General features: G+C 41.9%; 2 protein-coding genes across 11 annotated transcripts in view, besides 7 other annotated features; one reads left to right on the top strand and one right to left on the bottom strand.

Moving 5' to 3' along the window:
- The window catches only part of APAF1 (apoptotic peptidase activating factor 1), a 90,144-nt gene extending 73,032 nt beyond the window's left edge, over positions 1-17,112 (bottom strand). For 6 of the 8 annotated variants that reach the window (NM_181861.2, NM_181868.2, NM_181869.2 and 3 more), the window contains exons 1-5: positions 16,567-17,112; positions 13,905-14,083; positions 13,587-13,776; positions 12,718-12,915; positions 3,059-3,242 (exon numbers count right to left, since the gene is read on the bottom strand). In NM_181861.2, the coding sequence (NP_863651.1) occupies positions 3,059-3,242; positions 12,718-12,915; positions 13,587-13,776; positions 13,905-14,042 (710 nt within the window). In that variant the 5' untranslated portion in view covers positions 14,043-14,083; positions 16,567-17,112. The remainder of the gene's footprint in view (positions 1-3,058; positions 3,243-12,717; positions 12,916-13,586; positions 13,777-13,904; positions 14,084-16,566) is intronic. The other 2 variants (NM_013229.3, NM_001160.3) reach the window with 1 other exon arrangement.
- Positions 11,840-13,039: an enhancer, noted in NCBI's record as "BRD4-independent group 4 enhancer chr12:99043141-99044340 (GRCh37/hg19 assembly coordinates)". NCBI's record gives its function as "activates an origin of replication core promoter dependent on BRD2, P300/CBP, MED14 and CDK7 cofactors, and independent of BRD4, by STARR-seq in HCT116 cells {active_cell/tissue: HCT116}" and the evidence as "EXISTENCE:reporter gene assay evidence [ECO:0000049][PMID:35650434]".
- Positions 16,708-16,917: a silencer, noted in NCBI's record as "silent region_4756". NCBI's record gives its function as "represses an Ori minimal core promoter by ATAC-STARR-seq in GM12878 lymphoblastoid cells {active_cell/tissue: GM12878}" and the evidence as "EXISTENCE:reporter gene assay evidence [ECO:0000049][PMID:35858748]".
- Positions 17,014-17,641: an enhancer, noted in NCBI's record as "H3K27ac hESC enhancer chr12:99038539-99039166 (GRCh37/hg19 assembly coordinates)". NCBI's record gives its function as "activates a minimal SCP1, AML or CMV promoter by ChIP-STARR-seq in naive H9 embryonic stem cells {active_cell/tissue: H9 hESC(naive)}" and the evidence as "EXISTENCE:reporter gene assay evidence [ECO:0000049][PMID:30033119]".
- Positions 17,238-17,437: a silencer, noted in NCBI's record as "silent region_4755". NCBI's record gives its function as "represses an Ori minimal core promoter by ATAC-STARR-seq in GM12878 lymphoblastoid cells {active_cell/tissue: GM12878}" and the evidence as "EXISTENCE:reporter gene assay evidence [ECO:0000049][PMID:35858748]".
- The window catches only part of IKBIP (IKBKB interacting protein), a 31,385-nt gene continuing 23,162 nt past the window's right edge, over positions 17,614-25,836 (top strand). For all 3 annotated transcript variants that reach the window (NM_201613.4, NM_201612.4, NM_153687.4), the window contains exon 1: positions 17,614-17,879. In NM_201613.4, coding sequence (NP_963907.1) covers positions 17,701-17,879 — 179 coding nt within the window. In that variant the 5' untranslated portion in view covers positions 17,614-17,700. The remainder of the gene's footprint in view (positions 17,880-25,836) is intronic.
- Positions 17,642-18,268: an enhancer, noted in NCBI's record as "H3K27ac hESC enhancer chr12:99037912-99038538 (GRCh37/hg19 assembly coordinates)". NCBI's record gives its function as "activates a minimal SCP1, AML or CMV promoter by ChIP-STARR-seq in naive H9 embryonic stem cells {active_cell/tissue: H9 hESC(naive)}" and the evidence as "EXISTENCE:reporter gene assay evidence [ECO:0000049][PMID:30033119]".
- Positions 18,269-18,896: an enhancer, noted in NCBI's record as "H3K27ac hESC enhancer chr12:99037284-99037911 (GRCh37/hg19 assembly coordinates)". NCBI's record gives its function as "activates a minimal SCP1, AML or CMV promoter by ChIP-STARR-seq in naive H9 embryonic stem cells {active_cell/tissue: H9 hESC(naive)}" and the evidence as "EXISTENCE:reporter gene assay evidence [ECO:0000049][PMID:30033119]".
- Positions 24,932-25,101: an enhancer, noted in NCBI's record as "experimental_31387 CRE fragment used in MPRA reporter constructs". NCBI's record gives its function as "activates a minimal promoter by MPRAs in K562 erythroleukemia cells, with activity observed for both the introgressed and non-introgressed 12:99031164 variant alleles {active_cell/tissue: K562}" and the evidence as "EXISTENCE:reporter gene assay evidence [ECO:0000049][PMID:34662402]".

Here is a 25,836-nt window from a genome sequence, read left to right as displayed (position 1 = left end):
TAAAAAGATAATCCCACCAGTGTCTTTTAAAATCTACCAAATTAAATTTTTTTTAAAACAAATAGATGGCTAGATCTAGGAAAATGATTCTTCCTCTTTGCTATACTCTTCTCAATATGCTGATTCAAATAAGGAAAAAAAAAATTAGAGACTGCCTTCTCCTCAAACCCTAAATCAGAACATATTAAAATTACAGATCCTACCATAAAAGGTTCAGCCATCACTTACTGAGTGCCAAAAAAAAAAAAAAAAAAGCGACCATTACTATCCAAGTAATGGGATTTTCCAACTCAGTCTTTAAGCACCAAAACCAAACTAGAACTGAGCTCAGGTTAGCATTAGAATGAATCATACAATAATGATGATATGTGACCATTTTTTACCTAAAAACTAGCAATTTCATATGTTGTAATCTAAAAGAATATTACCTTTCATTTGGTATACAAGTGGTTTTTTTTAATCAATTTGTTTATTCATAGTAACCAAGAACCTCTATGCCAGTTCCCAGTTGTTCTCTCCAAAAACTTTTCTAAACTCACTAGAACAGATGAGGGGAAAAAATATAACTAAAACCTGATAGCATAATTATACAATAACATTTTTGTCTGAATGACACACTATGGCTGTGCATTACAAAAAAAAAAATACTCTAGGCCTGTAATCCCAGCACTTTGGGAGGCCAGGGCAGGCGGATCACCTGAGGTCGGGAGTTTGAGACCAGCCTGACCAACATGGAGAAACCCCGTCTCTAATATAATATTAGCCAGGCGAGGTGGCACAAGCCTGTAATCCCAGCTACTCAAGAGGCTGAGGCAGAGAATCGCTTGAACCCGGGAGGCAGAGGTTGCAGTGAACCGATATCGCACCATTGCACTCCAACCTGGGCAACAAGAGCGAAACTCCATCTAAAAAAATAAAAATAAAAATAAAAATAAAGAAATACTCTAGGCACATACATAGGTTGAAAAATTACAAAAGCACAAACCAAATGAGACTGAGAGATTAAAAAAATATGCCTGGCTTTGTAAGCTAGTCTGACACATCTGAAAGTGGCTACATTATTTTACTCAACAGAAGTCAATTTTAATTTTGCAAAAAAGGAAAAGTAGAACTAGGGAAAAGTTACTGAGCAATTAAAGAGGGAAGGGTTAGTGATCTCAATCCTATTTCCTCTACACAGATCAATATCAAGAGAAGGAGGGGCCGAGCGCAGTGGCTCACGCCTGTAATCCCAGCACTTTGGGAGGCCAAGGTGGGCAGATCACGAGGTCAGGAGATCAAGACCATCCTGGTTAACACGGTGAAACCTCATCTCTACTAAAAATACAAAAAATTAGCCCGGCGTGTGGTGGGGAGCCTGTAGTCCCAGCTACTAGGAGGCTGAGGCAGGAGAATCACTTGAACCCAGGAAGCGGAGCTTCAGTGAGCAGAGATTGCACCATAAAAATATAACGAATATGCATCAGAATCACCTAGTAGGCTTTTCCCAAAAATACTCTTCTCACCCTATATTCTGATATTAATACCCTTACCAATTTGAGAATCACTGCCATACTCAGCAACTGCTACATATGAAAGTATACTGCATCCTTGGGTGCATTAGGGCATTTTTAAAAAGTGCAGAGCCACTACCTAACTCTCACTCAGTATACTATAACATTCCCAAGGAATGCTTTATTTATCTTTGTACTTGCAGCACTTGGCCCAGAACCTGGCACAACACTCAATGTTGGTTAAATGAACAAATGAAAGAGAGGCTGTTAAGATGACAGAAATCAAATTGTTGACTGAATCCAAGGTTATACTCTTAAGACAAGCAGCAACTAAACTGCTGTCTCCCTTTTGGCTAATGAAAACTGTGAAACACTTGATAACAGTGCCTGGCACATAATTATAATGGTAAGTATTTGCTGAATTAATTAACTGTTGAACAAACAAAACAAACTCACTCCTGAAGTACATGGAAGTAGAAGAGTTACACGTATATTTCTAGAAACTAAGACAATCAAACAGAAGAGCCCCATTAAAAATCCTTCCTGACTTTTTTTTTTTAATTGAAACAGGGTCTTCCTCTGCCACCCAAGCTGGAATACAGTGGCACAATCTGGGTTCACTGCAGCCTCAATCTCATAGGCTCAAGTGATCCTCCCACCTTAGCCTCCTGAGTAGCTGGGACCACAGGTGTGTACCACCACACCAGATTAATTTTTGTATTTTTTAGAAAGACAGGGTTTCATCATGTTGCCCATGCTGGTCTCGAACTCCTGGACTCAAGCAAACTATCCACCATGGCCTCCCAAAGTGCTGGGACTACAGGCATGAGCCACTGTCCCTGGCCCCTTCCTGACATTTATCAGTTGCCTGCATTTATTCTCTGTTGTTCTATGTTAACCCATTAGAAATAACGGATTCAAAGTAAGAAGTTTGCACTTTCTAGCAAAGACCACTCACCAACTCACCTACTTAAGACATTTCCTGAAAGCCTACAATGGTACATATGAGATGATGTGGTAGGTAGCATGCAAAGAGAAAAAGCAATTTTAGGCCGAGTGGCAGCCACTTTTTTTTTTCGTTTTAAATACAAGAGAGAAAAGCAGGAAAGCAATGGTTCTTTCTTTCTTTCTCTCTCTTTTTTTTTTTTTTTTTTTTCTGATGGAGTTTCACTCTTATTGCCCAGGCTAGAGTGCAATGGCACGATCTCGGCTCACTGCAACCTCTGCCTCCCGGGTTCAAGCGATTCTCCTGCCTCAGCCTCCTGAGCAGCTGGGATTACAGGCATGAGCCACCAACACCTGGCTAATTTTGTATGTTTAGTAGAGATGGGGTTTCACCATGTTAGTCAGGCTGGTCTTGAACTCCTGACCTCAGGTAATCCAACAGCCTCGGCCTCCCAAAGTGCTGGGATTACAGGCGTGAGCCACTGCACCTGGCCGCAATGGTTCTCTCTTATCCTCCCTATAGAACAGCAGGAAAAAGGCATGATGTTCTCAAGAGGTCAGTAGTTACATCTTATTGGGACATGGGACCTGACACACCAACTAAATTTGACCATCGGTACCTTGGGTGTTTGCGAAGCATCAGAATGCGGAGACGGTCTTTAGCCTCTTCAATATTAAGTGGAAGCCTCTGGGAAAAACTCTCATCCTGATCCAACCGTGTGCAAAGATTCTGCAGTTTCATCAGAAGCCCAGATTTGTCTTGTTTCCCAACTGAAACCCAATGCACTCCCCCTGGGAAACAACCTAGTGAGGGAAAGAATAATGAACTTAAGGCCTTTCAACAGGAGTACTCCTTTAAATGGTTTTACTGTTAAGCATCAGATTTACTCCAATTTACAATCCCATCACATCTTCAACTTCTCTTGATTTAGAGTAGAAATTTTACGTGCAAGATACTGGTAGGCTTTATATCCTGAATCTAAGACAAGTTGAAGATGTGAAGAAACTGAAGTTTGAAGTAAATCTGTGGCTTATCGGGAAAATCTTACCAAGTAAAGTTTTATGATCTTTGTCCTGTGTTGTCAGTGATCACTGCACAGCACAGTTTCTAAACCTTGTACTTCTGACTTTTTGGGATGGCAATTCTTTGTTGTAAGGGACTGTCCTATGCATTATAGGATGTTTAACAGCCTTTTTGGTCTCTATCCACTAGATGCCAATAGGATTCCCCTTCACCAGTACTGACAAACAAAAATGTCTCCAAACATTGTCAAATGTCACCTGGGGGGGTGTGAAATCACCCCTCGTTGAGAACTACTGATGTCCTGGAACATATAACTCACCCATTATGGTTTTCTTATACAGACTTAAAATAGGAAGTTAGACTCAAGTCTGGCTCTACTGCTTACTAGCTAAGCAATCTTTATCAAATCATTTAACCTCAGTCTCATTGATTATACTGAAATAAGGCTGTCTAGCCCACCTATTTCAGAGTTGCTGTGAAAAATTAATGATATAAAATATGTGAAATTGCTATGTTAAGTATAAAGGATTAAAACAGGTTATTAGTGTTATGGATCTGAGAGCAACTTACCAATATTAAGCTTCAAACTAGTAAACACTAGGAATGGCCATGATTATTATTACTGTTATCATCATCATTGTTAATTGAGCCATAAAACATCTTGAAATATGTATTTTTATTTACATATTGTCAGTAGCCAAAATCTTAAGTCTTCATAGACTATACTTAATCACCTCCACATAAATATACATATATAAAAAAGAGGGGTCCCTATGTGTAAAATATGGTAAACAGTAGCATTAGATCATTCCAGTAGCATCAATCATAAAGATTTATGTGATCTTAAACATACCAAAAAAAGCAAAAAACAGACTCAAAGATAAATGAATTAAATTACACCAAAGGGCAATTTATTTACTGGTATTCACAAATAATTAAATACAAATATAAATCACTACTTTAAAAACCTAATCACCCAAAAGAGATACTTGTATATATGCACAAAGATCTATTTACATCAGATATTTATTGGGCACTATTCTAAGAGTTCTCTGTATGTTCATTCATTTAATCCTATAGCACACTATCAAGCAGACACTATTATCTTCATTTTGAAAATGAGGAAACTGAAGAATAGAAAAGTTGAGTAATTTGCCCAAAGTTACACAGCTAATGAAGCAGAGTTGAGATTCAAACTTAAAGTATCAATGTTCAACTTCTACACTATTCTGCATCCACAAGAATATTCACTGCAGCATTGTTTGCAACAGGAAAAAGCTGGAAACAACCCACCTTAACCTACTATCCCATTGCAGGCTTCCAAAGTTTCAGGCAGGCCCAACTGAACCTTATATGTAAATGAAGTTTGGAGTACTGAATAGGACTTGACATATTAATTATGAAAATTAGACTTTTTATAACTTGAAGTGACATGGAGTCTTTGAACCTGCACAAGGTCAAGGAAAGGATCAGTCCCAGAAAAGAGGACGTAAGCAATGGTCTGGATGAAGCCTTGAGGAGCAAATACCTATTCCACTTCCCAGCATAGAGAAAAAAATCGGTTTTCACTCCAGATAAGGAGAGGACTAAAGAGTCAAGAGTATGTGCTAAGAAGCAACTGAATGATGGACAATAAAATGATGGACAATGATGGCTGAAGTCTAGGAGAGGACTGATAGTATGAATAGAGAGGATATTCTGGAATCAATGGATGAGAAGTCTTGGTAAGTCTATAGCATTAAACTTGAATAAAATGGGTGGAGGTGGGTAAAGAGTAGAAGAGAATGCTCAACATCAAGATTTCAAAAGTGCTGTAGTTCTAGTAATGACAAAGATCAGGGTCTAGCCTGTAATCAGGGAAGAGTTAAGAAATGTTCACAGGAGACAAAGAGGTTAAGGAGGTAAGAGGTTAAGGTTTTGGATGACTCATCCACACAGGTATCAAAATCACTAAGAGTGCTAACAGACAAAGAGCATAAGAGGAAGGTTATAATCTACGAACTCCAATCGTCAATGAATGAGACGGTGATTACATCAATAGGAAAGGTTAGAGACATGAACCTCAAAGCATTCAGCTGGAGAAGGGAGTATTAATGGTCTGGATGAGACAACAGAGAGCAAGAACAACGCCCACCCATTTCCTGGTGCTAAAGTATGTAGGATATAAAGGAAAAAAGTTGCCATGTCACTTAAGAAGGTTATGGAGAAGGTAGTAAACTCAGGAAACTGCCCAGTTTCAGATAAGGCAAGACGGCGAATATTCTAAGAAGTTGATGATACAAGAGAGTTTCCTGCTCACAGAGGAGTTCTACAGGGTATGGCAGAAACACATAGGAATGACAGAAGAAGACTTAGATCAGAATTTGGCAATGTACTGAATAGTGACTGCATGAAAGTCTAAAATATAACAAACAACTGGAGACAGAGAACTCTACAGTAACTGAGGTAGAGACAGGGCTGTGAAGCCTGGTTTGATTATCAGTGCCAATGTCTTAGAAGAAGGTAGACAAGCCCTACTGCTTACTCCTAAAGTTTCCTGAGGTCCCCTCAGGCCTCCTTCAGTGTAAGTTTGCAGTTATGAAACAGCAAGTCCTTGAGACTTCACTTAAACTTAAAGCTGTGTTCTGTATGTGTATATATTTATAATTGCAGAGAATAAAGTTTGGAAAAATTTACTCCGAATTGTTAACCAAGATTATCTCTAGGATAAGATTTAGAATTTAGAGCCTGGCACGGTGGCTCCCAGCACTTTGGGAGGCCAAGGTAGACAGACTGCTTGAGCCCAGAATTTCGAGACCAGCCTGAGCAACATGGTGAAACCACGTCCCTAAAAAAATACAAAAAATTAGCCAGGCAAGGCCGGGCGCGGTGGCTCATGCCTGTAATCCCAGCACTTTGGGAGGCCGAGGTGGGCGGATCACAAGGTCAGGAGATCGAAACCATCCTGGCTAACACGGTGAAACCCCGTTTCTACTAAAAATACAAAAAATTAGCTGGGTGTGGTGGCAGGTGCCTGTAATCCCAGCTACTCGGGAGGCTGGGGCAGGAGAATGGTGTGAACCCGGGAGGCCGAGCTTGCAGTGAGCCGAGACCGCGCCACTGCACTCCAACCTGGGCGACAGAGTGAGACTCTGTCTCAAAAAAAAAAAAAAGAAAAATTTTGGCCAGGCAACGTGCTGTGCGCCTGTGGCCCAGCTACTCAGGAGGCTGAGGTGGGAGGATGACCTGAGCCTGGAAAGTTGAGGCTGCAGTGAGCCAGGATCATGCCACTGCACTCCAGCCTAGGTGACAAAGTGAGACTCTGTCTCAAAAATAAAAATAAAAAGATTAAGAATTTAGGAGAAAGCAAAAAGGAACAAGTAAGGAGAACTTTTATTTCTTTTTCTTTTTAAATGAAAATACTACGGCCGCCCCTACTGGGAAGTGAGGAGCCCCTCTGCCCGGCCAGCCGCCCCGTCCGGGAGGGAGGTGGGGGGGTCAGCCCCCTGCCCGGCCGGCCGCCCCGTCCGGGAGGTGAGGGGCGCCTCTGCCCGGCCGCCCCTACTGGGAAGTGAGGAGCCCCTCTGCCCGGCCACCACCCCGTCTGGGAGGTGTGCCCAACAGCTCATTGAGAACGGGCCAGGATGACAATGGCGGCTTTATGGAATAGAAAGGCGGGAAAGGTGGGGAAAAGATTGAGAAATCGGATGGTTGCCGTGTCTGTGTAGAAAGAAGTAGACATGGGAGACTTTTCATTTTGTTCTGCACTAAGAAAAATTCTTCTGCCTTGGGATCCTGTTGATCTGTGACCTTACCCCCAACCCTGTGCTCTCTGAAACATGTGCTGTGTCCACTCAGGGTTAAATGGATTAAGGGCGGTGCAAGATGTGCTTTGTTAAACAGATGCTTGAAGGCAGCATGCTCGTTAAGAGTCATCACCAATCCCTGATCTCAAGTAATCAGGGACACAAACACTGCGGAAGGCCGCAGGGTCCTCTGCCTAGGAAAACCAGAGACCTTTGTTCACTTGTTTATCTGCTGACCTTCCCTCCACTATTGTCCCATGACCCTGCCAAATCCCCCTCTGTGAGAAACACCCAAGAATTATCAATAAAAAAATAAATTAAAAAAAAAAAAAAAAAAAGAAAATACTACTTTAAAAATATTTAAACAAACAAAAACAGACAAATAAACTATCTGTTGCCTTAAGTTTCCATTTTTTTAAATTTGTACTACCTAAAATTTGTAAAAATCGGCCAGGCACAGCAGCTCACACCTGTAATCCCAGAACTTTGGGAGGCCGAGGCGAGGGGATCACTTGGGTCAGGTGTTCGAAACCAACCTGGCCAACATGGTGAAACCCCATCTCTACTAAAAATACAAAAATTAGCCGGGTGTGGTGGCACACACCTGTAGTCCCAGCTACTTGGGAGGCTGAGGCAGGGGGACTGTCAAGAGGCAGAGGTTGCAGTGAGCTGAGATCATTGCACCCCAGCCTGGGCATCAGAATGGGGCTCTGTCTCAAAATAAAATAAAATAAAATAAAATTTGTAAAAATCATCCCAAGATTAAAGGTAAAGAAAGCATCCTGATATGGCTACCTAGTAAATTCTTTCATATTTTAATTTATGTACCTATTACCTAGGGTCAAAGGCCTTTTTCCCTAAATGTATAACTAAAAATTTAGGGCATTTAAATACATGCAAGAAAAGAGAAAACACTACCAGCTTTAAAAAGGCAAACAGACCAAATGACCATCTGATATGTAAATCTCTAACCATCACAATATAACATTTAGTTAAAAACTGAACCATTAATTCCACATTTCAGAAAGAATCTAAACATCTTGACTATGGGCACAAGAGGGAGCAATTTAGCTTTGCATGAGGAGGCTGTATTTACAATTCACTCAGAGAAACTAATTCAGAGAAAAGTTGCCTTTATTCAGGGAAAACTCCACACTACTTTCACAGGAGGCTTATCCTGGTAGCAATTAATAATCTAATAACACAAAGAAATCTTGGAAAGGACAGAAACAAATAGGAACACAGCCTATGAAGAAAGCATCCATGATTAAAAACCAACATACGAATACAGTAATGTAAAATGTCACTACTGTATTTAAAGATACGTCAATTCTTTACTATTTCCCTACAAATAAGAAAAAATTAAAGCATTGAAATTTCAAAAGACAACTGGGTTACTTAAAACTGTATAGACATAAATAGTTAAAAACTATATATATATATATATATATATATATATATATTTTTTTTTTTTTTTTTTTTTTTTTTTTTTTTTTTTGAGACGGCATCTCACTCTGTCACCCAGGATGGAGAGCAGTGGTGCAATCTTGGCTCGCTGCAACCTCTGCCTCCCATGTTCAAGCGATTCTTATGCCTCAGCCACCTGGGTAGCTGGGATTACAGGCATGCGCCACCACGCCCAGCAAATTTTTGTATTTTTAGTAGAGACGGGGTTTCACCATGTTGGCCAGGCTGGTCTCAAACTCCTGACCTCAAATGATCTGTCCACCTCGGCCTCCCAGAGTGCTGGGATTACAGGCACGAGCCACCACACCCAGCTAAAAGTTAACAACTTAATATTCTTTAATTTATGCCAATCACCACCCAAAGAAAACATTTCCATAGGAACCACAATTTTAATCAAATTTAGATCTCTTATATTATCTGTACTTTTAAAAGAAAAGGTTTTGCAATACAATTAAATGTCAAAAATCCAATGTTCCTGTATTTGAGAATGGAAGTGAACTCCAGAGATTAAAATTTATCTTTGGGAAAGCACCTATTCTTGAATTAGTGGACATACAAAGGCAGACTCCAGAGAATAAAGAACTAAATATGAATAATAAGACTGTAATAGGACTACTTGAACAAAACTCAGGAAACACAAGTTAGAAGACAAAAAAAAAAACTGATTAGTTTGACTACATCAGAGTTCTCGTCTACTGAGAACACCCAGGAAAAAAATTAATCAGATGGCAAATTAAAATAAGGTATTTAAAAGTCTAAAACCAGCTGAGCACAGTGGCTCACGCCTGTAATACCAGCACTTTGGGAGGCGAGGCAGGGGGATCACCTGAGGTCGGGAGTTCGAGACCAGCCTGACCAACATGGAGAAACCCCGTCTCTACTAAAAATACAAAATTAGCCAGGCGTGGTGGTGGGTGCCTGTAATCCCAGCTACTCAGAAGGCTGAGGCAGGACAATCGCTTGAACCTGGGAAGCAGAGATTGTGGTGAGCCAAGATCGCGCCATGGCACTCCAGCCTGGGCAACAAGAGCGAAACTCCGTCTCAAAAAAAATAAAATAAAATAAAATAAAAGTCTAAAACCAACAAAGTTTAATGTCTAGAATATATAAGAAACTCCTAAAAAGCAAAAAGAAAAAAAAATTGGAAACCCCAATGGAAAATAGACAAATAATATAAACAAAATCCATAAAAAAAGAAACCCAAAAGGCTAACAACAAGCTTATGAAGAAATGTTCAAACTTGAGTTACCAGAGAAATGCAAAGTAAAAGACACAACTTTATAGAAGTTTGCCTGGCAAAAATTACAAAGCTGGATCATACCAACCGTCACTGCACAAGTAGAATTATCGGAGTCCCCATACTCATCTGGGGGAAATGTACAGACTGGAGGGGAATCAAATTTGGTATTTGTATATCCTATCATTTAGTAATTTTGGCTGGACATGGTGACTTTCATCTGTAACCCCAGCACTTTGGGAGGCCAAGGCGGGAGCATCACTTGAGCCCAGGAGTTTGAGACCAGCCTGGACAAGATAGCAAAAACCTGTCTCTACAAAAAAATGTTTAAAAACACACCAAGCATGGTGGCTTACACCTGCAATTCCAGCACTTTGGGAGGCCAAGGTGGGTGAATTGCTTGAGCTCAGGAGTTCGAGACCAACCTCGGTAACATGACAAAACCCCAACTCTACAAAAAATACAAAAATTAGCTGGGTGTGTCAGCATGCACCTGTGGTCCCAGCTACTCCGGAGGCTGAGGTGGGAAGATCACTTGAGCCCAGAAGGCAGAGGTTGCAGGGAGCCAAGATTGTGCCACTGCACTCCAGCCTGGGTGACAAAGCAAGACCCTGTTTCATAAATAAATAATTAGCCAGGCATGGTGGCGTGTGCACCCAGCTCCTCAGGAGGCTAAGGTGGGAGGATCACTTGAGCCTAAAAGTTTGAGGCTGCAGTGAGCTATGATATGGCCACTGCACTCAGCCTGGGCAACAGGGTGACACTCTGTCTCTTTAAAAAAAAACAAAAATAAATAAATAATTACTAATTTTGCTCCTAGCTACAAATACCCAAGAAATTCTTACTCACATAGAAGTTCAACCCAGCTTTGCTGCAGCAGCAGAGAGTTGGATACAATCTACATATCCATTTACTTAGGGTAATGAGCAGTAAAATGGGTTGGTGGCAATCAGGTGTAACAAATAACATGTATACATAGCAACAAGGATAAATCTTAAAAACATTGTGTCATGGGAGATAAAAAACAGAATAATACCATAACATCTATGCAAATTTAAAATACCTGCATACCAACAACATACATATTTTACAAGAGTACACACTTTACACAGACATTTACAAAGAACATACATTAAATACATTAGGATTGTCCATGGAGAGGGGAAAGGAAATAAGAATAGGAAATTTTGAAATGGAAATAAATAAATACAGTGAAAAGCTCAGCCTAGTACAGATCTACTATAATAAGCCGTGAACTAAGGAATATGAATAACTCAGTCCTCTGAACTTGAGATCCCACAAAAGTACGAGGAATATGAATTAAGCTCACATGTACAGTTGCCAGTATCTCTAGGATTTTCTCAAAACAAAGTAGTTAAAACCTGTTCCAAGATAACAATTTATACAATATGACTCCTGAATATTTAATTCCATAGATTGTTAGTCAATTTTAATCCCTAGAATTGAAAATTCATCACAATAATGTAGAGCAATTTAAATGGGGAGAGGGAGTGTTCTTTTAAACCTATAAATTGGAATATTATAAATACACAAAGAAAGTTCATAATATTGAAAGGAAAACTCATTCCTTCACACTAAAGGAACTTAAGCTAAATTTATCCTGAAATATCCTTAGTGATCAACTTTGCAGTAGGGGCTTAAAAAAATCCTTGGCTCTGAGACTTGAAAGGAGCTAAGTCTCAGGAAACTTCTCTGTAATGATAGAGGGGAAAAACCAAGGGTTAGGAATCAGGCATACTTCTGACAAGAGTATAGTCTATACCACTTACAAAGGCTATGAAATTAAACTGAGGCCATGTGTACACATAGATATACCCTAGCCTCCATATTTCTAAGTCTCTTAGAGGCTTACTACTTATTCCAATCATTCTGTCTAAACTGTCTTAACCGTAGATCATGTTATACATACATATCAAAAAAAAAAAAACAAAAAACTTTTTTTTGAGATGGAGTCTTGCTCTTGTTGACCAGGCTGGAGTGCAGTGGTGCGATCTCAGCTCACTGCAACCTCCGCCTCCTAGGTTCAAGTGATTCTCCTGCCTCAGCCTCCCGAGTAGCTGGGATTACAGGTGCTCACCACCACACCCAGCTGATTTTTTTTGTATTTTTGGTAGAGACGGGATTTCACCATGTTGCCCAGGCTGGTCTTGAACTCCTGACCTCAGGTGATCCACGCCTCAGCTGGGATTACAAGCATGAGCCACCGTGCCTGGCCTACTAAAAAAAAAATTATTAACTACTAGAAGTTGGGAACTGTCTTTGAATTCCCCTAGAAGTGTCATACAGAGAGAACACACTGATGAATGAGAACACACTGATGAATGGGGGCAGCCTAGAACTGATGGAGCTATACAACTATTCCTGATGAATACCCTGAGAACCTACCAGGATCGCTAAGGTCAGTGGTATACCTGCCAACATTTCTTAAACCCTCTTCTACCCAGTATGCCCTTCCCCACCCCAGTAACCACCCACTACCTTTCCCACCTTCCCTAGTCTCCCATCCCTACCTTCACTGCCTAGCTAACTTTTATTCTTTCTCCAAACTCCTGCTAAGATGTCATCTCATTCAGGAAGCTTGTCCTATCCATCCCCTCCCTTCAGAGAGTTAACATATCCTTCCTTTGTTCTAACTCTGTACCTTATACTTGTTTCTACCATTCAATTTATCACGTATTGATATATCATAATATTTTTACATGTCTATCTACCTTACTAGACTATGAAATGGACTAAGACACTTACCTTCTAAAAGGGAATGATCTCTAACAGCTTCTGCAGCTAATACAGACTTCCCACAGCCTGCCATTCCATGTATGGTGACCCATCCTGGTTCACCTTTCAATTTGGAGAGCTTCTGCTGAATTGCATTCACCAGCTTCTTCCTTGTGACAAAAACAACTGGCCTCTGTGGTACTCCACCTTCACACAGGACTGTCCTTACTAAAATCCAAAACAAAACAAGCATGAATGAATAGAACTTTGGAATAATTACTGAAGTAATACCATAAAAAACAAAGAGCAAAGCTGAGGCTTAGCCTGAAAATTTCCAAGAGAAGTTAAGAAAATGTGGCTAGCATATTAACTTCAATTTTCTGATTTCTCAGACAACAGAGAGCAAAGACAAACATATATCCTTCAAGATGACTAAAGAAAATGGAAGTTTCTATCTATATCTGCTTTACTCACCCAATTATTTCCTGACTTTTCATTCCCTCTCATATTGAAGACTGGGAAGGCAAGTGTAAAAGGAAGAACATTTATGGAATACCTTTCAAGAACATATATTTCTAAAGATTCTTATTTTTTCCTATAAACTCTATAAACACATAGAACTGGAAAATAAACAAGGGCCTATAAATTGTCTTATTGTCTCTAAAAATTAGGGTAGACATATTATTATCTCAGCAGTACAGTTCACTGGGCAAGAAGAAAAGTTGAGAGTTAATGTGGATGCAAATAAAAAATATTTAAATTGAAAACATCACTACAATTTTTTTAACATGCAGTTTTCAGTGAACTGGTCACACTCTCTTCAAAAGATTACATCTACAATAAGACAAACCCAAAGCAATTTTGATAGCAAAGTGATAGAAGGTATAATGGATACAAACCATACGAAGTTATTCCACTAACTGAATCTTTACCACTGGAAGAAGAGACAACAGGAATGCCATCATGGAGAAGGGCAGCAAGATCTTTATATCCTTCATGTAGTAGAGCATTGTAGAATGATACGTAGGAATCATTATCTTTTTTAAGTATCATTTTAATCAGCATAGCTGCTCTTTGCTGTTGAGTGGGCTAAAAAAAATTAAGTAGTTTAGTATACAACAATGAATATGTATGCAACATAAAGTAGTGGAGACCAGTACAAGTTCTGAAATTCTAAAAATTTTTAAGGAAGTGTGGACTGCTTCAGAGAGCTTTACCTCATTTCTTACTTTTTCCTCTTCTGATATTGTTAAAAATCCATCACTAATCATGTGATCCATGATGTAGGATGTCTTGATGTCCTTTTCCAGAGCTTCTCTATGTTGAAGCAAACAATTTCGAGCTTTTGCATCCATCTTCCCTCAGATCTTTCTCTCTCTGAGCTGTCAACCATGAGCTACAGCCAAAACACCAAAATATTTGTCAGGCCAATAAAAATATGAAAAGATACATAATCTCACTAATAAACAAGAAACGTAAAAAGAACAAAACTGATTTTTTTTCCTTGGCAAAAATTTTTAAATGGACAAAACCCAGTGCTTGGAAAGGTATGAGAAAATGGCCATTCTTATGCACTAATTGGGGAAACTAGAAAATGAATGCAATTTTTCTGGAAAGCAGTAAGATATGGAATTGTTTAAAATAAGCTTTCTCTCTAACCCAGAAATCCCATTTCTAAGGATTTACTTCAAGGAGACATTCAAATACATATGTAAAAATATCCACAAGGAGAATTAATGAGTTTCCAATCAGGTGTGGTAGCTCAAGCCTATAATCCCAGCACATTGGGAGGCTAGAGTAAAAAATAAAAAGAAAAAAGAATTAATGGAGGATGTTTCAGTGATGAACGCAACCTAAATGTCCATCATTCTGAATATAGATTTTAAAAATTAGGGTATGTATATAAAATGGAATATTATGCAGCCATTCAAAATTATGACACATATCTCCATGTATTGACATGGAAAGATGTTCATAATACTGTTGCTGAAAAAAAAAAAAAAAAAAAACAGAAACATGATCCCACATACAACACATAACGTGGGGGCCGGGCGCAGTGGCTCATGCCTGTAATCCCAGCACTTTGGGAGGCCGAGGCGGGTGGATCACGAGGTCAGGAATTCAAGACCAGCCTGGCCAAGATGGTGAAACCCTGTCTCTACTAAAAATACAAAATTAGCCAGATGCAGTGGCAGGTGCCTGTAATCCCAGCTGCTCGGGAGGCTGAAGCAAGAGAACTGCTTGAACCAGGGCGGCAGAGGTTGCAGTGAGCCGAGACCACTCTACTGTACTCCAGCCTGGGCGACAGACTGAGACTCTGTCTCAAAAAAAAAAACAAGTGTTGGTATCATATGAATATATATAGACGTTTAGAAGTTTATTCATCGAAATGTTTGAGTTACTTCTGAGTAGCAAAATTTGGGATTTCTCCCCCACCTTGTCTTATTTTTTTTTTTTTTTTAGTACAGACGGGGTTTCACCATGTTGACCAGGCTGGTCTTGAATTCCTGACCTCAGGTGATCCACCCGCCACAGCCTCCGAAAGTGCTGGGATTACACTTGTGAGCCCCACCATGCCCGGCCTCTACTGTCAATTTTTTTTAGCACACATTATCATTTCTTACAATAAAATACTTCCTTTTTTAATTAAGATTGTATAAAATAGTGATTACATTGAAGTCCTAATATTAAGAGACTTCTTGTTTTCCTTATCAAACATAAGAGTGAATAGAGCATTGTTACTATTGAGTATTAGTTCTCGTTCAAGGAGGATGTCAGCTCTAGGTCCTCCTTGCTAAACACATTTCCCACAAAGCAACAGGAAACACTTTCTGATGTGATTTCTCAGACCAGGAGGACATGAGGAAAGAATAACAGCCTTTATAGTAAAATACTTGACGTTTCTAGCAACTTTATTTCAAATATAATGCAAATTTTTCCATGGGCATAAAACCCAGTTCACAATATCTGCAAGTTTTCAAAACATTAACAGAACTTTACACAATGTATAGAGTGAAAGAGTCTAAACGGGTTTATCAATTCATTCATTCAATACACATTTGTGCCCCTCCCTATATGTCAGACACCAAGACTACAGAAAAGATTGAGTCATTTGCCTGAAATAATTCACAGTCTACTCAAAGAAGAAAAAGAGAGAGAGAGTGGGAATGTGAATGCCCGAAGTGCAAAAACAGAGCACAAGTAACTTGGAGCTCACAGAAGGGGGCAATAATTATCAAGCTTCAATGACTGTTTTTGAAGTCACCAAATGTAGCACTTGGAAAAACAGGGACGGACGTAGGGCATTTGCCTATGCTTGTCAAGGCTTACAAAATGCCCAGCAGGGGCACAAAACTGATAAAAAGTTATTGATTCGAATCAAAACTCTCATTTTTTAAAATGTTAATAACGTTTTTGTCCTCTTAAACATAAAATGTTCCTTAATTTATAGTAATGAAATTCGATGTGAAAAAACAAGAATGAATGAATTTTTTAGGTGATGTCCAATAGCTAAGCAAATAAGACACTCTGGTTTTCTGAAACTAATTTCCAATTTCACCTAGTCCTGTTAAACTAAAATATGCAAATCTTAAATACGTTTTAAAACTGCACAACTTATCTGAACTAAGTCTCAAAACCTTTTGTAACCCACAACAAAATGGAAAGCCAAAACTCTTCATGGACGTAAAACAGAAAACAGCGCACGTTTATCCACGAAAACCCCAAGTTTACTACTTCCTCATTACAGAATTTCTCTTCCTGGTACAGGAGCAGGATGGTTATCAAATATTCCATGTCCTCAAATTCTCAGTCCCTGAAATCAGCTACCAAGCCTCCAAAGAACCTGGCTCGGGGAGAAAAGCGAGGAGGTCAACTTACCCAAGCCTTTGCGCCTAGGTCTTAGTGGGGAGGGCGGCACTGCCGGGACAAGACTGGGAGACTCCAGGCCGGTGGAGGGAAACGGCAACAGGAGTTTTCCACCGGGAATTAGGGGTGCAGGGCTCTGTCTCGCCACATACCCTTCGCCCCGGGGCAGGTCCGGGCCTCACAGGCGCCTCCCCTGGATCTCTGCAGCCCCGGGGCGCACGAAGACCCCCAGGGACCTCCGAAGGTTGGCGAGGTGGGCGTCCACCCAACGCAGCCTGACCCCACAGTCCCGGAGCGCCGCGGTGAGGCCCGGCCCACGGGCCGCCCTCCGGTGGACCCCACTACTGGACACAAAGGGAGGAGGTCTTCCCGGCCTGTGGCGCCCTTCCCCCGACGGCGGCTGCACCCCGGAGGGAGCCCGGCGCTACTCCGGATGCCGCTGCGGCACCTCAAGTCTTCGCGGGTCGCCGACTGCCCAGACTCCCCACCTCTGGTTCTATCCCTTTTGCCCGGGATAGAGCAGTCACGTCCACTCGCTACCTCTTCTTCTCCGCCTCTGGACAGCGGAGCAGTCAAATCCCGCCGGATCCACCCAGCCCGGACGGCGCGCGCCCGCTTATGCAAATAAACACACCCCAAGCCCCAAGGGGCGGCCACCGCTGCCGCCGCGCACTCCTGCCACGGCTCATGCCCGCGCGCGTAGAAGTGCCCGCCTACCCCGCGGACGGGGCGTGGCTAAGCCTCAGGGACGCGCCGCGTTCCCACCAATGCCGGACTCGGGCAGCGGCGGCGCGCCCGACGTGGCGCGCGCGACCCCTTCGTCCTGCCCCTCCTCCTCGGGTCCCGTCGGCCTGCGCGCGCCCGGGAGTTTGAATTTCCTCGGATTTGGAGCAATATCGCAGTGGAAGGCGCTGTGGGTTGAGGTCGCCGCCCACCTCTCCTAGGGGAACTATGGAGCTGGCAGCTGAAAGACTCAGTGAAGCAACGAGGATGCCGGGGAGAGGGAAGGGGCTGGGCTCTGGGCGGTGCCAAGTCTGTGAGGGGGCGCGGTCACCGCCCAGGGTTCCCACGAACGCCAAGGCGGCCACGTCCTGCTCCCCCTGGTGAAGAAGCTGCCCTGGGCTTGTCGTCCTAGGGTCTCCAGACATGTCTGAGGTGAAGAGCCGGAAGAAGTCGGGGCCCAAGGGAGCCCCTGCTGCGGAGCCCGGGAAGCGGAGCGAGGGCGGGAAGACCCCCGTGGCCCGGAGCAGCGGAGGCGGGGGCTGGGCAGACCCCCGAACGTGCCTGAGCCTGCTGTCGCTGGGGACGTGCCTGGGCCTGGCCTGGTAAGTGGACGCGAGGCTGCCTGGGCCGGCCTCCTGTGGGCCCCCTGCTGTTTGGGCTCCCACCCGGCTCAACATCCAGCCGGAGGTGATCCAACCTCCCAGACCTGGGCCTTCTGTGCCTCTGTCTTGACCCCAAAGGAAGGAAACAGCCCAGCCTTGTTTTTCCCTTTCGGGCGTTTCTTGTATCTCATTTCCCCCCGTGCTGGTAGCATGCCCCTATCGCTCAGAAGGAGTTGAGGCTAAGGTTTGGGAACGAGCCATTTGTTAAGAGCTGCAGATTCGGCCACGCTTTCTGAAGCTCCCGCTACACGTCAGAAGCGTTCACGTTGTTATAAACCGTTACTTCCTGTCCGCTGTGCCCCATTCCGGGACACATCTGCCCCACCCTACTCACCCCATAAATACCTAATGGAAATACTTGCAACCTTAAAACAGATCATTATGTTTGGAGACCGAGGCAGGTGGATCACTTGAGGTCAGGAGTTCGAGACTAGCCTGGCCAACATGGTGAAACCCCATCTCTACCAAAAATACGAATAATCAGCCGGGCGTGGTGGCGGGCGCCTGTAGTCCCAGTTCCTCCGGAGGCTGAGGCAGGAGAATCGCTTGAACCCGGGAGGCGGAGGTTGCTATGAGCCAAGATCGCATCACTGCACTCCAGCCTGGGCGACCGAGCGAGACTCCGTCTCAAAAAAAAAAAAAAAAGAAAACCATATCATTATGCTCCCAAAGGAGCAAACGTTATAGTAGCAGAGCTTGGAGGAGTGCTCATATTTTGATCACCGTGCATGCATTATGAATTTAAGGTCTTTTATTAAGTAAGTTACAGATTGAATATGGTAAAGCTACAAAAACATAGCACTTGTGTTCACTTAAAACTAACCAGTTGCAGTTTTAAAATCAGGTAAATGGCGATATATTGGTGTCATTAGGAAAAATGAATATTAGAAATAACCTTAAAACCAACTCGTAAAAAAAGAAAAAAGAAAAAAACCAACTTGTGAATTTTATTTTCCCAGCCTTTTTTTTTCTGGCGGGAGGAGGGAATAGCCCATTTCATTTTAATAAGATTGGCATCTTAATAGAATTTTTCTCCATTTTTCATTCATGTGTAAAGTTATTTAGTAAGACTGTTGTTAATCTTCCAGAGTGATAGAATTTTAGAAGAGACCCTGGACATCTAGACATTTTTTATGCTACTACATATGGAATTATACTTTACTGGTGACTCATCCCAAATAGTGTATTTTTCAGAGTTAAAAGATTTGTTACGGCTGGGCGCGGTGGCTCACACCTGTAATCCCAGCACTTTGGGAGGCCGAGGTGGGCAGATCATGAGGTCAGGAGTTCAAGACCAGGCTGGCCAACATGGTGAAACCCTGTCTCTACAAAAAATACAAAAATTAGCCAGGCTTGGTGGCACAAACCTGCAATCCCAGCTATTCAGGAGGCTGAGGCAGGAGAATCACTCGAAATGGGGAGGTGGAGGTTGCAGTGAGCTGGGATCGTGCCATTGCACTCCAGCCTGGGCAACAGAGCGAGACTCCATCTCAAAAAACAAACAAACAAAATTTTGTCACAATAAAGTGATTAAACGCCCTCTTCAAAAACAATAGAATTGTCAGCCTGCCGGCAGTGGCTCATGCCTGTACTCCCAGCACTTTGGGAGGCCAAGGTGGGTGGATCACCTGAGGTCAGGAGTTTGAGACCAGCCTGGCCAACATAGCAAAACCCTGTGTCTACTAAAAATACAAAAAAGCCAGGCATGGTGGCATGCTCCTGTAATCCCAGCTACTCAGGAGGCTGAGGCAGGAAAATCACTTGAACCCAAGAGGCGGAGGTTGCAGTGAGCCGAAATCGTGCCACTGCACTCCAGCCTGCAGGATGGAGCAAAACTCCTTCTCAAAAAAAAAAAAAAAAAAAGCAGATAGCATTATTTATTTTACTAATACGGAATATGTTAATTTTGATCTGAAAGGAATAAATGTACTGAATTTACTGTTTTAAATAAACGGCTCTTATGCCTTAAAATGCTTGACCTCCTTTAAGTAAATTGAAAAAAAAACCTTTTTGGGCCAGGTGCAGTGGCTTGCGCCTGTAATCCTAGCACTTTGGGAGGCCGAGGCAGGCGAATCACTTGAGGTCAGGAATTTGAGACCAGCCTGTCCAACATGGTGAAACCCTATCTCTACCAAAAACACAAAAATTAGCTGGGCCTGGTGTAATCCCAGCTACTCAGAGGTTGAGGCAGGAGAATCACTTGAACCTGGGAGGTGGAGGTTGCAGTGAGCCAAGATCTGCTACTGCACTCCAGCCTGGATAACAGAGCGAGACTTCGCCTAAATAAATAAGTAACCTTTTGTGTTTTGGGAAAGTTAGTTACTATCCTGGGATAAGCTTTAATAGAAAACTAAACTTTATGGGAATAAAATTTCCCTCACATCAGGAATTTGCTGTTAGTGATTCCTGTATTACATTGTAATGAATGTATTACATTCATTAGGAAGATTTAATTTGAACTATGTTTGCAAAATGATAACACAATGCTATATCAAAAATAATTTTGGGGGCCAGACCCAGTGGTTCATGCCTATAATCCCAACACTTTGGGAAACTGAGGCGAGAGAATTGCTTGAGGTCAGGAGTTTGAAACCAGCCTGGGAAACATAGTGAGACCGTGTCTACGAAAAATTTTTAAATATTAGCCAAGTGTGGTGGCATTCGCTGTAGTCCCAGGTACTTGGGAGGCTGAGGTGAGAAGATAGCTTGAGTCTGGGAAGTCAAAGCTGCAGTAACCCATGATTATACCACTGTGCTCCAGCCTGAGAGACAGAGCAAGACCCTGTCTCTCTAAAATGTATGTATTATATGTGTTTTTTATGGGCAGATTCTATAATTATTATTTAAATAGTTGCCTCTTAGTTGCTCTTGTGAAATCTTTTGCTGCAAAAATTGAAGCAAATGTACTTTGGTTGCTGTTTATTGCAAAATATTTATTCATAGTAAATTTTGAAATAAAAATATATCCCCATAAGACATTTGTAAACATTTTCCAGATAAAAAGCAAGTATTTGGCATCTTAAAATACTTAAAAGCTCACTAGAATTTTGACAAAGCCATTGAGATCTTTACCACTAAAACACGTAATTCAGCATCTAAAAGTCGGTCTATCAAATCTTTATTAAATGCTTTCCGTACTGACACGGCCCTGGTGGTTAAAATACAAGTGCATATGTGTGCCTGTCTGTGTACTCTTAAATACTGCTTACTCTCACTCTTCATCTGATTAAGTTGGAGGGAAAAAATCTGAACCCTTCCACTGCCCAAGAAGGATTTCAAGGAATCACACTATATCATTGTCTTCAGACCATTTCCTATGTGGAAAGAAAAGAGAAATAATACATAAGAAACTTAAAAGTGTGTTGCTTTAATATCTTCTCTCTGCTAAATAAAGGCCTGATAGGCCAGGTGTGGTGGCTCCCACCTGTAATCCCAGCACTTTGGGAGGCCGAGTTGGGCGGATCTTGAGCTCAGGAGTTCAAGACCAGCCTGGGCAACATGGTAAAACCCTGTCTCTACAAAAAATACAAAAAATTAGCCAGGCATGGTGGCGCATGCCTGTAGTCCCAGCTACTTGGGGGGTTGAGGTTGGAGGATTGCTTGAGCCCCGGAATTTGAGGTTTCAGTGAGCTTTGATTGCACCACAGCACTCAGCCTGGGTGACAAAGTGAGACCCTGCAAAAAAAAAAAGGCCTGATATATCCTATGTCATCTTGACAATAAACACTGGAGATAAGTTGCCCAAACCCATATGGCTTGAGTGTCAGTTTGCATAGCTCTTTTCTAAACTCTTATAGAAATTTTTCAGGTAAGAATTGAGGTGATTCTACTTTCAGAAAGTTAAAAAGTTGTTAAATTACTAAACAAGACACAAAACCTGTCACTCATGCTTATTTAATTACATAGAAATTTAATCAGCTGGAATTTCCATTGTGAAAATTTTGTTTCTTATGGAAACTTCAATAGATTTTTTAATTGCTTTTTTGTTTTGTTTTGTTTTGTTTTGTTTTGTTTTGTTTTGAGAGATGGAGTTTTGCTCTTGTTGCCCAGGCTGGAGTGCAGTGGCGCAATCTCAGCTCACCGCAACCTCCACCTCCACCTCCCAGGTTCAAGCAATTCTCCTGCCTCAGCCTCCCGAGTAGCTGGGATTACAGGTGTGCGCCACCACGCCCAGCTAATTTTGTATTTTTAGTAGAGACAGGGTTTCTCCATTGGTCAAGCTGGTGTCAAACTCCCAACCTCAGGTGATCTGTCCACCTCAGCCTCCCAAAGTGCTAGGATTACAGGCGTGAGCCACCGTGCCTGGCCTAAATTGCCTTTATAAAAGTTTTTTATAGTATCTGTTATAATTATGTACAAAAAGTCAAAAGCTCTTTAAGCAAGTTGTATAACTCTGGTTTTTGTTTTAATTATCCAATATAATTTTCTCTATAAATCATACTGTAAAACCTTGGCTAACTCCATTTCCAGCTTTTTTCTTTGTGTTAGTAGAGTTTTATCTAAAAGACAAGGGTATAATTTAAATGTCCTGCTTCTTAAAAATGGAATATGGTCAAGGTTTTCTTGAAAACTAGGTATTGTGCTAAAACTGAGGCTATAGATGGTATGAAACATAGGGCTAAATGGGTACTGACCCTAATAGTGGCCCTGGAACTTCTTTCCTTGCAGAAGGTCCGTAACAGCTTCCTTTGGTTATTTGCCTCTTTTTCATTATTAAGCTGAAATAGAGCCAGAGGAAATCCTGAATTTGTAAGTCCTCAGTCAGCTGTCTGCCACCATTTAACGTTCCTAAAGGAGCTATTCAGAGGCAACACACACCATTAATTACCACCATGCACTGTAGGAAAATGTAAACCATTCATTATCACAGGACCCTAGATAGATCTGTATGAGGTCTCTATAGACTGCAATGGCTCATGAAGGAGTCAGGAAGATTCTTTTTGTAAGGCCTACGCTAAAAGTAGCCTGGGTCCCTTTCTCCTGTATCTCACTCTTCCACAAGGCCATATGATATGATAGTGAGAAGAGGCCCAAAAACGAGAGTTATTTTTATTTAGTGATTTATAAGTGGTCTAATCCATCTATTCCATCCTTCATTTGCCATAAACACAACCCAGTTTATACTTAGTGTTCAAAGGGGGACAGGCCTGGGGCTTCTATCAAGTGCAAGTGGTCGGGAACCCTGCTTCCCTTATGCAATCATAGGCATGTAGGAAGGATGGAAGAGTAGCTGCACAAAGTAGTCCAAAAGAAAGATAGCTGGTCTTGTTGATGGGCACCTGTAATCCCAGCTAGCTGGGAGGCTGAGGCAGAAGAATCACTTGAACCCAGGAGGCGGAAGTTGCAGTGAGCCGAGATCACACCACTGCACTTCAGCCTGGACAACAGAGTGAGACTCCATCTCCAAAAAGAGAAAAAAAAGGGGCCACAGTACTTAAAGGAAATAGCTGATGTGCTATGGCTCTATTGTTCCAGGAGCTTTTATAAATAGCAATAACTAATGTCTACAATAACTCGGCCAGGCATGGTGGCTCACACTTATAATCCCAGCATTTTAGGAGGCCAAGGCGAGAGGATCGCTTGAGCCCAGGGAGTTTGACCTGCAGTGAACTATGATTGTGTCACTGTAGACCTCTTCCTCTTCAGCTGCCTCAAAAAACGAACAAACAAACAAAATAGCCAGATCTCCTCTCTACAGAATTTTTTTTTTTAATTAGCCAGTGGTGGTAATGTACCTGTGGTCCTAGCTACTTGAGAGGCTGAGGTGGGAGAATCACTTGAGCCCAGGAGTTCAAGGCTGCAGTAAGCTATGATCAGGCTACTGTACTCCAGCCTGGGTAACAGAATGAGACCTTGTCGAAAAACAAACTACAACCCTATGAAGTATTGGCTGGGTGCTCTGGCTCACACCTATAATCCCAACAGTTTGGGAGGCCAAGGCAGGAGGATCACTTGAGCCCAGGAGTTCAAGACAAGACTGGGCAACATAGGAAGACCCCCATCTCTATAAAAAATTAGCCAGGCATTATGGCACACGCCTGTGTTCCCAGCTACTCAGGAGGCTGAGGGGGTAGGATGGATTGGGCCTGGGAGGCTACAGTGAGCCATGATCACACCACTGCACTCCAGCCTGGGAAATAGAGTGAGATCTTGTCTTTAAAAAATAAGATTAAAATAAGGTATTATCCCCACTTCACAGATGAGGAAACATCAAAGTTATTTAACTTGCCCAAAGTGGTTATACAGCTTAGTAAATGGCAGAGCTAAGGCAGTCCAGTCACCCACCTAATCAGTATGATTCGTTGCCTCCATTCGATATTAATCCCCAACAAAAGGCCAAGATCCTAGAAATAGAAATCCCCAAGTCCAGAATTACTTATAGTTCTTTTCTTCCTTCTACTTGAAGGTATACCCTTTAGCAGACCCTAATTGCTTGTTTTTCACTCTCATCTAAATGGGAAGACTGGGAACTGCTCTCACTAGAATATGCCCCTGACTCATAAAAAGGAAATAAAGGACCTTATACCCTAACATGGATGCCAGTTTGAAAGCTTAGTTTTTCAGATCTGAAGCAGCTTTCTCAGCATATTTTCTTGACTTCTAGAAAATCAGTCATCTAGGCTGGGTGCGGTGGCTCACGCCTGTAATCACTTGAACCTGGGAGGTGGAGGTTGCAGTTAGCCAAGATCATGCCACTGCACTCCAGCCTAGGCAGCAGAGCGAGACCCTGTCTCAAAAAAAGGAAAGAAAGAAAAAAGCCGGGCGCGGTGGCTCACGCCTGTAATCCCAGCACTTTGGGAGGCTGAGGCAGGCGGAACATGAGGTCAAGAGATCGAGACCATTCTGGCCAACATGGTGAAACCCCATCTCTACTAAAAATACAAAAATTAGCTGGGTGTGTTGGCACACGCCTGTAGTCCCAGCTACTCGGGAGGCTGAGGCAAGAGAATCACTTGAACTCGGGAGGCAGAGGTTGCAGTAAGCCAAAATCGTGCCACTGCACTCCAGCCTGGTGACAGAGTGAGACTCCATCTCAAAAAAAACAAAAAGAAAGAAAAATCAATCATCTTCTTTAATGTTAAATGAATTAATATTTATCAAGTACTTAGAATAGTGTCTGGCACAAATAAGGGAAAAATAAAATATATTTTAACGCAGCACAGCACATATCACTTCATTTTTTTCATCACTAGTGCTGAGTCAGCTTTGTACTTTTTTCTTATATGCACCGTTCACATGTAGCAAGGATGAATTTTTTTTTATTTTAGTAAGAGGCTAATCAAAAAAAACTACTAATTATCAGAGATGATATTTCCACTAACATGACACAGGTTGTGTTTAAAGCTTGAATTTGAAAAGAAGTTCTGAGAAAGTTCATTAATGTATTTTTTGTAATGAATCAACCTTCATACGAAAGTCTCTTATAATAATGATTTCATTCTGAATAAACTCGCTAATCTATAGTATAGATCTATGGTGGAGTATTGGATAATAAAACTAGTCCCTGAAATGAACTGTGTTTCTTCTTTTACTTTTTTTTTTTCCCCCCTGGCAGGGAGGGACAGGAAGGCGTGAGGAGGGCAACTCTTATTTCTTTAGGGTGGTCTCTTTCTTAATAAGGTCTCTATCTGCTGGTCTTAGATATCCAATACTCTGGGGGAAAAAAAAAAAATCCTAAAAGCCAGAAATGAAACAGCCAATGAAAAAAGAATTATGTTCACCCTTCCATCTCAGAGAATTAGGATAATAGTGTTTTCTAATAACCAGAAGCTTTAAAGGTTCCTATTAATTTAAACACAGGAGAAAAGTCAATCTGTGCTAATAATGTAACCTGGGATCCCGTATAATAGAAATTAGCCAGCATCATCAAAAGAAATGTATTTCCTCCAGTATTGTA

This window comes from Homo sapiens, chromosome 12 (genome assembly GCF_000001405.40).
Source record: "Homo sapiens chromosome 12, GRCh38.p14 Primary Assembly".
In the NCBI taxonomy this organism is placed as follows: domain Eukaryota; kingdom Metazoa; phylum Chordata; class Mammalia; order Primates; family Hominidae; genus Homo; species Homo sapiens.
The sequence above is the reverse complement of the archived record's forward strand: the minus strand, read 5'-3'. Positions and strand labels throughout refer to the sequence as shown.